The 12,334-nt window shown below is 41.0% G+C and overlaps 1 protein-coding gene across 3 annotated transcripts in view; it reads left to right on the forward strand.

The window, feature by feature from the left end:
- The window catches only part of BAALC (BAALC binder of MAP3K1 and KLF4), an 89,581-nt gene that overhangs the window by 52,136 nt on the left and 25,111 nt on the right, over positions 1-12,334 (forward strand). Inside the window, exon 2 of one of the 3 annotated variants that reach the window (NM_001364874.1) lies at positions 7,798-7,902. The exons of the other annotated variants lie outside the window; for them this stretch is intronic. Within the exon in view, the coding sequence (NP_001351803.1) occupies positions 7,798-7,902 (105 nt within the window). The remainder of the gene's footprint in view (positions 1-7,797; positions 7,903-12,334) is intronic. 3 annotated transcript variants of the gene reach the window in all.

Raw genomic sequence — 12,334 nt, forward strand, 5'->3', positions numbered from 1 at the left:
TTCTGTGCTTTGCCACCAGCAACACCTCTTAGACTTCTCTCTTACCAGCATCCCAGATATCACCACCAGGGACAAGGAATGAGCTTCTCTCCCTCCCCTCTGCACCCCCAGCCCTAGAGCAGAGTCTAGCACATCAGAGAGGTGCAGTGAGTATTTGGTGTAGAACTCCACGATCTGCAACCCCCTGGTCTGTTTTTCTAGGGCTCTGTCCACTTCTATTCAGCATAACCAAGTTTCAGTAGCTAGCCAAGCCCCCAATTATCTGTCCTTCTAAAGAAGGTGAGGCATAGAAAGAGCTTGTGAACATTATGCTTTATGGCTTACCCCTGTCACAGGCGTCACTTATCAGGCCTCTGATATGCATGCAGTAAACAGACCCTGATAGAGCAGCAATCTGCTCTGTAAATCTGGGTCTCCTGCTTCAGCTCAACCTCTGATCTCCTGGTTGGCCTCCTGGGGCCCCTTAGTATCTGGATTTTAGTTCCTTTAGGAGTCACTACATCCTGGCCAACTTGGCAGAGTTGATCTTTGGTGACATTCCCTTGTCCCTGCCTCTTTTCTCCATTTTCTTTCACCCATTCAGTGCCCTCTCTTGCTCTCAAGAAAGGACCTGAAATCAGCCTTTTGCACATTGTTGTGCCTGGGAGTGGGGAACTGTGAAATTAGCCCTGACCGTGTGTCAGCTCACCTACTCTTTCTTCTTTGATGGGAGCAAATAGATGGGAGCAAGACATCTTTAGAGTCACACAGATCTGGGTTTTGAGTCCTGGATCCATCACTGGTTGGTTGTCTTTTAGCAAGTTATTTGGCCTCTCTGAGCCACTGTTTCCTAGTCTGTAAAATGAGAATAACAATGCCCACTTACAGGAGTAAATATGGCACATGGTCAATATTATTATTTAGCCTCTTCTGAAAGGTCATACAAGGGACAGAGCTGGAATTTGAACCCAGGCCTGCCTGACTCCAAAAGCAGTGCCCACACCATGATAGCACATTCTTCCCTGGTACACAGTGAACCAGCCACCAAAGACGCTTGTTGGGTGAACATGAATTTAAGTCATCAATGCAGAGATGCTTAAGGCCCCAAGAGGTTCACTTTCAAAATGGAGTCAAATTCAGAGATATGCCAATGAAGAAAGAAAAAGCAGCTCAAATCCTGCTTTGTCTCGCAAGAAAAAATATCAAAAAGCAAGTCGTTTTCTTTTGATGCAAAGAAAACCTCTTTGAAATCCTCTTACTCTCAGACTTTCTTATGAAGCAGGGAGAGATTTTCCCCAAATCTTCTTTCCCTGATACCACTCTTCTGCTTCTCCATCCCTTTTCCACCTAAAGCCTATTAAATAAATCAACTTAATGTTTCTCTTTTCTTTGACTTGCTTTCCACTGGCTAATTACCGGGATTCCTTAACCCTGAAGCAAGCCATCAGATCATTCTAGCAAACAAGAATCTTTTGCCTTTAAGGATTAGGGAAAGTAGAGAGACATTGCAAATACACACAATATAATGTAGTCTTTTCTTTAATTTAATTCCTGTCACAAAATGATGTGAATTTATCATTTTCTCTCTCCTTCTTCAACCTAGAAGCAAACCGTGAGGTCATTGTAACAAATAAGAATCCTGTGCCTTGAAAAGATTGGGAGAGCTGAGTAAAAGTTACCATATTCCCTCCCCTGGAGGTAACTAAAATTTAAAGCTTAGTGAGAATCATAGTATAATAAAAGGTCAGATTCTCAGCTGTCAGTTCATTCATGTTGTTATAACAAAATATCTGAGGGTGGGTCATTTATAAATTAAACACAAATTTGTTTCACACAGTTCTAGAGGCTGGAAAGTCCAAGACCAAGGGGCCAGCAGGTTCAGTGTTTGGGGAAGACCCATTCCTCATAGACGGTGCCATCTAGTGCCCTCACATGGCAGAAGAGACAAAGGGCAAAAAGGGCACAAATGCTGTGTCCTCACATGGTGGAAGAGCAAAAAATGGCCTACGCTAGTTTCCTTCGGCCCATTTATACAGTAGTGATTCATAAGACTCTGCCCTTATGACTTAATCGCTTTCCCAAATGCCCTACCTTTTAATACCACCACAGCTGGGGAGTAAGTTTCAACATGAATTTTGGAGGGGAGACAAACATTCAAATCATACCACCTGGGCAAGGAATTTTAAGCATCATTGAAAAGGAGGTGCATTTTTGAGGCTGGAGACCCTTCCTGTTCTGCACAAAGTTGGCCCTGTAGACCTTCTAGTCCCAGAATCAAAAAGTTTGGGAGTCAGGCCCTCAGCACCTTACTGGAGTCCCATCATCAAATCTCCCCTTCCCAGCAGCGAAGTAGCCATCTGTGGCAAGAGGGAAGGAAAGCCCTATATGACTCTGGTCTACATGAACCCTCACCAGCCCCTGTGCAGCATCCCCAGCCCCATCACCAAGCTCTTCCTGTAAGCTGAGTTCAGCGTGATCTTTACCAAGCTGAGGTTGGAGAACTGCTTTTGCTACAGGGCTTTGATGTCCATGAGGAGAAGGTATTTCTCCTTCCTGCAGCACAAACCCCTAAATGGCAAATGCAATCGCTCATAACTTCATGAGGAATCTGGAGAAGGCTCAACATACTGTCCTCAAGTTTTCACTCAGCCCTGAACCCTGGAAAGACACCAGCTTTCATTGGGAGTCCCTGGGAACCACAGCAACCCCTTACGAGGAGGGAGGGATGAGTGGCTGGCACCCTATGACAAGTCTCTGTCAGGGCTGACTTCACTGTTTATGCGAGCTGTTCCTTTCACTCCCTGATATTTCCATAGGAATTAGAAGAGCAAGCATGGTTCATGTTTGCACTTGCTTTCTCTGGAATTTCAGATGTTTGGTACATCAAGGGAAAAAATACTTTAACACATAGAGATCCATATGGCAGCTTCTTCCTGCAGTGATGATACCTACTCTGGCAACCAGCTAAACAGTTCAAGACTCTTTCAACAAATATTGTTTGAGCAACCCAGGCATGGAGCTCCCAGACCAATGGGGCAAGCAGACATGGAACAAATGATACCAACAGTGATGAATGCACCAAAGAGAAGTGCACTACTGCAGGAGTGCAGGGGAGTCCAACCCGGTCTTGAGGAGGAGTCTGGGAAGGTGCCCCTTTCCCAAAAATTCATGTTTAAGTCAAGATGGAGAATTAGGCCAATTGGGAGAGCCTTCAGAGTAGAAGGAACAGTGTTATAAAGACTGTGAGGTGCCTTCAATGTCCTATAAGGCTGGAGCATAGAGGACAGAGAGAAGTGCATAAGCCCATCAGGCCAGAAGAAGCAGGAGAGCTCACAAAGAGCCTTGCAGGGCACATAGGGATCGGTATGTCTATCCCTTAGGTCATTAAGAAGTCTATGAAGAGGTAGGCCATGATCACATTTGTAGTTTTTGTTTTTGTTGTTATTGTTATCGTTTTTTGAGACAGGGTCTCATTCTGTTGCCCAGGCTGGAGTGCAGTGGTGCAATCTCAGCTCACTGCAACCTCCACCTCCCAGGTTCAAGTGATCCTCCCACCTCAGCCTCCCAAATAGCTGGGACTACGGGCATGCACCACCATGCCTGGCTAATTTTTTTATTTTTTGTAGAAAAGGGTTTTTGCCATGTTGCCCACACTGGTCTTGAACTCCTGGACTCAAGCAATCTTCCTGTCTTGACCTCCCAAAGTGTTAGGATTACAGGTGTGAGACACCACACCTGGCCAGATTTTTAGCTCTAAAAGAATGCACTGGCTACCCATTGTAGAATGAAGTCCACAGGCCGCCATCCCTTCTCATCTTAGTTTGGCAGCCTCTCTCAGCCCCCTTAATTGGATCACCAAAGGTCTGCAGCACCCTGGCTTGGTGAACCTCCCTGGTATTATTTCCCACCTCAGAGCAATCCTCCCTGGAGCAGAGATTGACCAACACCAGCTGGCTGTATCCCTGACATGGGAGCTGCTGAGTGCAGAAAATGAGCCTCGTGGTGGCTTCTGAGTATTAGGGAATCAGTGTCTAATCTTTAGTGGGTGACCCAGAGGGTTGAGCTCCTGGCAGGAGAACATTTCATGGGTCTGGGGAGAAGAAAATGCACCAAGGTAGTTTAATTAAATACACTCATTTTCTCACTGGCTGCACTTCAGTGTGACCTACTTAATTCTGAAGGCAAGTTACTTGGATTTTAGATATGCTTCACCCTAGAGGAGTAAGACATTTGAACTATGGATTACCTTTAAAGCAACAAACAAAAGGCTTTCATTTATTTTGATGACACCATACACCCACTAATTATTGCCTAGCTCTGAAAAGGGAAAATATGATTCATTGTAGATTTTTTTGTTTTAATAATGTAAGTTAACACAAATGCACGTGAAAGGAAAGGTTTTAGAGTCTGGCAGATCTGGGCGGAAGCCTGGCTCTGGCACCAGCAGCAGGACCTCAGGCACTTTAAATTGCCTGACCCTGAGTTTCCTCTTCTTAAAAAAAAAAGAGGTGGCAGGGAGTGGGGATCATAACATCTACCTACAACATTGTTGTGACAATGAAGTAGAGCTGGGAATCAAATTCCAACTCCATGATCTTAGATATGAATTGTTTTTCGAGTCTTTCTATCTTTGTATGCTTAGGTCTGAACATAAGGCTGGCACAAACCCACAAATGTATATTTCATTTCATTTCTACTTTCAACTTTTGTATTAGGCCATTCTTGTGTTGCTATAAAGAAGTACTTGAGGCTGGGTAATTTATAAAGAAAAGAGGCTTAATTGGCTCATGGTTCTGCAGGCTTTACAGAAAGCATGGTACTGTCATCTGCTTCTGGTGAGGCCTTAGAAGTTTACAATCATGGTGGAAGGTGACGGGCAGCCAGCGTGTCACAGGGCAAGAGCGGGAGAAAGAGTGGTGGGGGAGGTGCCACACACTTTTAAACAGCCAGATGTCGCATGAACTCATTCATCATCAAAGGGATGGTGCTAAGCCATTCATGAAGGATATGCCCCATGATCCAAATACCTCCCACCCAGCCCCACCTCCAACACGGGATTACATTTCAAGACGAGATTTGGAGGAGACAAGTATCAAAACTATATCAGCCTTCATCCCAACGATGCCCAGTCTTTCCTTTTAAACATTGCTCAAGAATCCTCTGCTCTGTGAGGACTAACCATGCCTGATTTGAGCCATTAAATATCCCACAGTTTCTTACGAACAACTATAATTTTTTTCCATCTACATGTACTGTTAGGGTGCCTTGAGGAACATTACCATCTGACTGCCCTACAGAAAGTTGGGCATCCCAACCATTGATTTAAAAAGGTAGGACTTTTTTTTGTAAAATAGGCATTGCAATGTATTGATTCCTATGTGGTGTTTCTGTTCTTATGTATCATTATATTTGACTACTATTTTTGATAGCATATTTGATGATTAAATGTGATATAATAACTAAAAAATAAATAGCCTAATATTCTGGGTGAGTCTAAAGCTATTACTAATTAGAAAAGACAAAATGTGACATGGCTCTATTTCTTAAAAATCATTCTTATTTCACGAGTAATATATCAAAAAAGGTGGTAGAAATGTTATAGATAATGCCCTTTTGATCATCCCGTGATCCTGGTCCCCTGCCTTTTCCCCAAAGACAAACATTGTTATCAGTTTGTTGGGCATCTCTCTAGTTTGTTTTCTGTGTGTATATGTGTGTGTATGTATCCCTGTACAAAAATAGCATAACATAGATATAATATAGTTTTTTAAACATAAAAGCTGGCCAGGCTCCATGGCTCACACCTGTAATCCCAGCACTTTGGGAGGTTGAGACAGGCAGATTACCTGAGGTCAGGAGTTTCAGACCAGCCGGGGCAACATGGTGAAACCCTGTCTGTATTAAAAATACAAAAAAAAAAAAATTGCCAGGTGTGGTGGTGCACATCTGTAGTTCCAGCAACTCAGGAGGCTGAGGCAGGAGAATTGCTTGAACCCAGGAGACGGAGCTTGCAGTGAGCCGAAATTGTGCCACTGCACTCCAGCCTAGGCAACAGAGTGAGACTCTGAAAGCTGTCATTTGCACATATTTATGCTCTACTTGCTTTTCCATTCATCACTATGTATTTCTATCTATATAAGTCTACTTTATTAGCTTTAAATTGCTATATAGAATTCCATAGTCTAGATAAACCACAATTTATTTAGTAATTATCCACCTGAAGAATGGCTACATTGATTATATTTTTCATTATTACAGTGGTGTAAAGAACATCTTCAACAACCCCGTTTGTGCAATGGTTAAGAGGTTTTCTAAAGCAGATATTGAAGACTGAAATTGCTGAGTTATTTTGATGTGCACATTTTAAACATGAATAGGCTCTGCCAATTGCCCTCCAAAATGGACAGTTTTACCTGCACTTCCACCAGCAGTATATGAGAGAATGTGTTAACACACATCCTTTCAACATGTAATATTATCAGACTTTTTAACTTTTGCCATTCTGATGGGTAAGAAATGATATATTATTTAAATTTTGCATAGCTCTATTTTTCAGTAATTCTTCAATAAGCCATAAGTTCCCAATTAAATTACAGATACATAAAGGGTTCAGATAGGCAAGTGTTTTATATTCCCCTCTAACAGCACAGTGCTAGGCACAGGGTAAGCACCCAAGGGATACTAGATAATTGATTGATTGCTTTGAGCGATTTTAAAATTTTAAGAATTAAAACAATTCAGTTGATTGAATTCAAATTTTGATTGGCCAAAATATATTTCTTACATCTAATAAAGATGTATCATCTAATTTCTTTCTTTTTTTTTTTAACTTTTAAGTTCAGGGGTACAAGTATTAAGTTTGTTACACAGGTAAACTTGTGTCATGGGGGTTTGTTGTACAGATTATTTCATTACCCAGGTATTAAGTCTAGTACCCATTAGTTATTTTTCCTGATTTTTCCTCCCTCCCACCCTCCACCCTCCAATAGGCCTCAGTGTGTGTTGTTTCCCCCTATGTGTCCATGTGTTCTCATCATTAAGCTCCACTTATCAGTGAGAACATGTGGCATTTGTTTTTCTGTTCCTGTGTTAGTCTGCTAAGAATAATGGCCTCCATCTCCATCCATGTTACTGCAAAGGACATGATCTTGTTCTTTTTTATGGCTGCATAGTATTCTATGGTGTATATATACAACATTTTCTTTATCTAGTCTATCACCAAGGGGCATTTAAGTGGATTCCATGTCTTTACTATTGTGAATAGTGCTGCAATGAACATGCAAGGGTATGTGTTTTTATAATACAATGAGATACCATCTAACACCAGTCAGAATGGTTATTATTAAAGGGTCAAAAAATAACAGATGCTGGTGAGGTTGTGGAGAAAAAGGACACTTATATACTGTTGGTGGGAATGTAAATTTGTTCAGCCATTCTGGAAGACAGTGTGGCAAAACCTCAAAGACTGAAAGATGAAAATACCTTTCAACCCAGCAATCCCATTACTAGGTATATACCCAAAGGAATATCATCTAATTTCTAATATCCACCTCAGAGAAAAATTTAGTGCCAACTACAGTTGATGTGGAAATAGCCTAATGAAAAGGCTAGTTGTACTAAGGTCAGAAAATGTCAAGGAGTAAAAAACAAACAAAAACAACCAGGAAAACAGCTGCCACTTCTTTAAAAGGCTAACCACCCCCAAAAATAATTCAACCAAAGAGTAAAAGACAACAGGGACTGTCTTCCTCTGTTCTGGCTTAGACTGAAATACCTATACTGGATAATTTATAAGTAACAGAAAATTATTTCTCACAGTTCTGGAGGCTGAGAAGTCCAAGATCAAGGCACCAACAGATTCAGTGTCTGATGAAGGCTTGTTCTCTGCTTCAAAGATGGCACCTCTTGCTGTGTTCTCACATGGTGGGTCAATGAGCTCCCTTCAACCTCTTTTATAAGGGCACCAATATCGTTCATGAAGACAGAACCGTCATGGCAATTGCTTCCTAAAGGTCCTGCCTCTTAATACTATTGCATTGGGGGTTAGATTTATACATATGAATTTTGGGGGGACACCAACATTCAGACCATAGCAGGGAGGAAAATTGCATTAGAATACTTTTTCCCTAAAGAAAAATTCCAGTGACTAAGAAAAAGAGTCTAAAGTGAAGGCCATCAAGCATCCTATCGTACTAGGTACCTTTGGAGCAGTTTAAGGGAGTCATCTCCAGGGCGTTTTAAAATCTCTGACTGATTAAATCTGCTGACTTTGTGGAAAGAGATCAGGCTACAAGCAGGGAAAATTGTCTGGATATGTAAGGAAATGAAGTAAGAATCAAAGATCAAAGTAGGTCTCCGTATTCAAGCAGAAAGGAGGCCATGATGGGCAGGGCCTTGGCCAAGGAAAGTCAGCAACTCTTCCTGAGTAAATCAGCCACCAGAGGGGCATTATGATTCTGAGGACCACCCCTCATGTGCAACCCCTGGGACTTTGTTCCCAGGCACCTGTTGGTCACCCTAGGGGAGCATTCCATGGTAAGGTTGCTGCTTGTTGGGATTGTACAGGTAAACAATTCCCTGAAGAGACCATTTGAGCCTGAGTAAGAAGGTGAGATCTACACTGTGTCACACGGAAGAGGAAGGAGGAGTTAGACATGTGGATGGATAAGACATATTGCCTTCTAAATGTTCTCCACTTTGCCTTGTTCTCCCTCTCTTAAGGAGAATTAGGTTAATGCCCATTCAAATTCTTCTCTTTCTTCTCCCTCCAATGAGAATTCAGTCTTTGTCATCTATGCCCTGTATCCTCTCTGGTGTAGAATTGAGGAACTAGGCAGAGACAGGGAGAAGCAGCAAGGAAAGGAAGGTGGTTGGAAAAAGGATTTAGCTGAGAGACTGCAACCTACTGCTAAACTAGAAGCCTCAGATGTAAACCCAGCACCCAGCATAGAGCCTGGCACATAGTAGGTACCAAATAAATAGTTTTCAAATAATTAGCTGATTGAAAGACAAGTGACAAAGGAAAGAATAAATCATCTGTGATGAGGAGGAAGCAGATGAAGGAAGAATGAAACAGGAGAAATGTTGGCAGATAAAGGTGGAAAATGGAATCGTATTGTATAGTCTCAATTTTTAGAATCTATACATGTCTATGCACTGAAGTTTTGGGACACAGTAGGCAAAATGTCAATAGTAGTTATTCCTGGTAGATAAGATTATGAGTAATTTTGTTTACTTTTTTCTTACCAATATAGTACAGTTTTCTACATGAAACACCTATTTCTTATGTGAGATCATAAATGTTATTTTATAAAAAGAAATGCAAGGTAATATGGCCTGAGCTGTGTACCCCTAAAATTCATGGCTTGAAGGCCTTTCCCCAGCGCCTCAGAATGTGATTATAATTGAAGATAGGGCCTTTAAAGAGGTAATTAAGGTAAGATGAGGTTATTTGGGTAGGCACAAATCCAGTATGACTGGTGTCATAAGAAGAGATTAGGACACAGACACACTCAGAGGGAAGACCATGTGAAGACAGAGGGAGAAGACATCTATCTACAAGCCAAAGAGAGAGGTCTCAGGAGAAACCAACCTGTTGACACCTTGATCTTGGACTTCCAGCCTACAGGACTATGAGAAAATAAATATCTCTTGGTTAAGCCATCAGTCTGTGGTACTTTGTTATGGCAGCCTGAGCAGACTAATACAGAAGGTACACATTTTAAAAGTGTCAGAGAATGATTCAAGGAGACACAAAGAGGAAAGAGAAGAGCATAAGAGAAGTGTTTTGAGCAATTTGGGAGGAAGGCTCTGGTAAAATATAGAGTATTGTTACAATCCTAGCAATATTGCATACCTTAGAATAGTAAGATATAAACACCTTTGGTGGGATAGAGAGCTGAATTTCATGACCGAGTTGGGACACCCCACAGTAATTAACATAAAGATATGGCAGTACCTGCCTTGAAGAATCTGCTCTGTGGTGCTCTTGAAGCAAAGGTGAAGAAGTTTCAAGGAAGGGAGGCACCTCTGAGAGGAGCAAAGGGAGAGAGGAAAGTAAGTACGCCCTCAGAGAAGACTGGCAGGTCCAAAGGGTAGCACTAGAGAGAAGGCAAGTGAGATTTTTACTTTTCCTTTTGGCTGCCTTCCAGTTCATTAGCTTGTCTGTTGTCTCCTGGGCATCTTTTTGGGAAGAGAAGAATTCAGGCCCATTTCGCCAAAGACAAATAGGACTCTCCTTGCTTCTGCCTCCTGTCCTGTCAGTTCCAGTTGTCGGTGTCAGCAGGCTCCTGCCTCACATGCTGCTGGGTACCATGGGGAAGCCATTTCCCCTACCAAACCCTATGGCCAACGGCAGATGTTACAGGCTGGTGGTTCATCACAGGGAACAGTGGTCTTTCAATATCTTCCTAGTCAGGACCCATGTCCTTTGGGGGCTGTTGCTAGTGCTACATTGTCTAGTATATGAGTCCACTAGTCAGTTTCTCTCCTTGATCATTGCTGTTCAAATCCAAATGTGCTTCTATATTTTCTTTAGTCAATAAACATTCCAAAATGTACTGCTCACCATTTGAAAAATGACAGCTTTGTTGAGGTATAATTCACATACCATACAATTGACCCATTTAAAGCATACAATTAAATGATTTTTTAAATTCCTGGGGTTGTGCAACCACCCCCACAATCAATTTTAGAACATTTTCATTGCATCAAAAAGAAACCCTGAACTTATTAACAGTCACTGTCATTTCCTCCCAAACCCCCAGCCCTACATAACCACTACTTTTCTATCTATAGAATTGCCTATTTCTGAACATTTCATATAAATGGAATTATATAATATGTGGCCTTCTGTAACTGGCTTCTTTCACGTAGCGTAATGGTTTCAAGGTTCATCAATGTCGTAGTATATATCAGTACTTCATTTCTTGTCAAACTGCCAAATAATATTCCATTGTATATACATAAAATACTTTATTTATCTATTCATCAATTGATGGATATTCGGGTTGTTTCTACTTTTTGGCTTTTATAAATAAGATTGCTAAGAACACTCATGAACAAGTTTTTGTGTGGATACAGGCTTTCGTTTCTCTTGGGTGTATACCCTACAGGAATTTCTGGGTTATGGTACCACTATGTTCAACCTTTTACAGAATTGCAGACTGAAAGCAGCTGTACCATTTAGTCTTCCCACCAGCAGTGTATGAGATTTCCAAATTCTCTACATTTCTGAGAACACTTATTCTGTATCTTTTTTTTATTATAGCCCCATCCTAGTGGGTGTGAAGTGGTATATCCTTGTGGTTTTTGATATGCATTTCTTTGATAGCTAATGATGCTGAGTATCTTTTCATGTGTTTATTGGCCATTTGCATATCTTCTATAAAGAAATGTCTACTCAGGTCCTTTGCTGATGTTTTATCTGGATTATTTATCTTTTTTATTATTGAGTTGTAGGAGTTCTTTGAAAGTTAGTTCCTTACCAAATATATAATTTGTAAACTTTTTCTCCTATTCTGTGGATTGCCTTTTCACTTTCTTCATGGTGTCCTTTGAATCACAAAAGTTTTCAGTTTTGATAATGCTCATTATATCTATTTTTCATTGTTGTTGCTTGTGCTTTTGGGGTCATTTCTAAGAAACAATTGGATAATCCAAGGTCATGAAGACTTACACCTATATTTTCCTTTCAGTGTTTTATGATTTTAGCCCTTACATTTAGATCTTTGATCCTTTTGACTTAGTTTTTGTATATGGTGTGAAGTAGGGGTGCACTTCATTATTTTGCATGTAGATATTCAGTTGTCATAGCACATGTGTTGAAAAACTATTCTTTACCCATTGAAGTGTCTTGGCACCATTGTCCAGAAAAAAATGACCATAAATTTAAGGGTTGCTCAATATTTTCTAAGAATGTGTTTGTAATAGCCATGCAAAAGGTCACATATTATAGTATTATACATAGTATGTGGCCAACAATTTCTCATCAGATTGAAGAAATGACACTGTCCCATTCTAGTTCATTTTAAAGATGAAACAAATTCTTAGTAAGTGGCTGAGCAATCACAGCTTGTTTTACTTATACCTCAGTTTAGACAAAATTATTATCTGCCATGTGTTCAGGACCTGAGAGCCCAGACAGTGTTTGATGAACCAGAGTTTCACTGGCTGTGATTTTAGGAGATTCTTTCCATATTGATTGCCAATGTCTTATACTTTGGTTTTCTGTCATTGAGGAGAATGACTTGCAGGTTGTTTCTGATGATTTTGGACCAACTCTCTGTGACCACCTTCACCAAGGAAAGCCAGGTGCTCAAGCTAAGGAGAAATTACCCCTTGACCTGCTCTCCAC

The sequence above is a fragment of the Homo sapiens genome, chromosome 8 (genome assembly GCF_000001405.40).
Source record: "Homo sapiens chromosome 8, GRCh38.p14 Primary Assembly".
Classification (NCBI taxonomy): Eukaryota; Metazoa; Chordata; class Mammalia; order Primates; family Hominidae; genus Homo; species Homo sapiens.